General features: G+C 50.5%; 1 annotated feature.

Moving 5' to 3' along the window:
* Positions 229-729: an enhancer, noted in NCBI's record as "H3K27ac hESC enhancer chr3:191616621-191617121 (GRCh37/hg19 assembly coordinates)". NCBI's record gives its function as "activates a minimal SCP1, AML or CMV promoter by ChIP-STARR-seq in naive H9 embryonic stem cells {active_cell/tissue: H9 hESC(naive)}" and the evidence as "EXISTENCE:reporter gene assay evidence [ECO:0000049][PMID:30033119]".

Consider the following 1,054-nt stretch of genomic DNA (forward strand, 5'->3'; position numbering starts at 1 on the left):
GGTAGTATCAATCTTCAGCCGCTAAGCCGGGACGATCTGGGAAGGAGTCAGTCAGAGAGCCTTGGGCCAGAGTACCAGGGGCTCTGGGAGTGGCTGCCAGGTGAGTTGAACAGTCCGATTTCCATCCGATTTCCAGTGGGGTCCTGCACAGATGGGACACAGCTTAGGAGGAATCCTGGGCTGTGGGCATTGCTTGGCCTGGTGGCCAGATTTCTGGCACTTGTAGCAAGCTCCTGGGGGAAGCGGTTCTGGAGGAACACCTGGCCACTGCGGTTTAGGCGTTTGGAAGGTCTTGTATGCTGGAGGTGTGGCTGGGTTTTGCCTCACAGCAGAGCAAGTAATTGTAACTCAGAAATGTGTTGCCGTCTGGCTGCTTCCTCTCTATTATTGCACACCTTGAAGGTGAGGTTGATTAACTCCTGTTGTGGGGTTTGAGGGCCAGATTCTAATTTTTGAAGTTTTTTCCTAATGCCAGGAGTGGATGGGGTGATAAAATGCATATTGAGAATAAGACGGCCTTTTGACCTTTTAGGGTCTAGGGCTGTAAAGCATCTCAGGGTTGCTGCCAAAGGAGCCATGAACTGGGCTGGGTTTTTCATATTTGATGAAAAAGAGCCTAAATGCTCACTGATATTGGGAGAGGTCAGATAAAGAAGAAGGAGCATTAACCTTGACTATGCCTTTGGCTCCAGCCACCTTTTTAAGAGGAAATTGCTGGGCAGGTGGGGGAGGGCTAGTCGAGGAATGAAACTGTAAGCTGGACCAGCTGTGAGGAGGGGAGGTGATAAAAGGATTATAGGGTAGGGGAGCAGAGGCTGAGGAAGAATTGGGACCTGGCTCAGCCTGGCAAGGAGGGGAGAGGTCAGATGGGTCTGTAGAAAAGGAAGATTAGAAAGACTCAGCGACTCTTGGGGTTGGGACTGAGGGGACAGATGGGAGGGAAAGAAGGAAGATTTGGGATGAGTTGCATTGGGAACAGAGGCTAGAGAGGGACTGATGTGTAAAAGAATGCCTGGATGTCAGGCATCTCAGATCATTTGCCCATTTTACGACA

This window comes from Homo sapiens, chromosome 3 (assembly GCF_000001405.40).
Source record: "Homo sapiens chromosome 3, GRCh38.p14 Primary Assembly".
Taxonomy (NCBI): domain Eukaryota; kingdom Metazoa; phylum Chordata; class Mammalia; order Primates; family Hominidae; genus Homo; species Homo sapiens.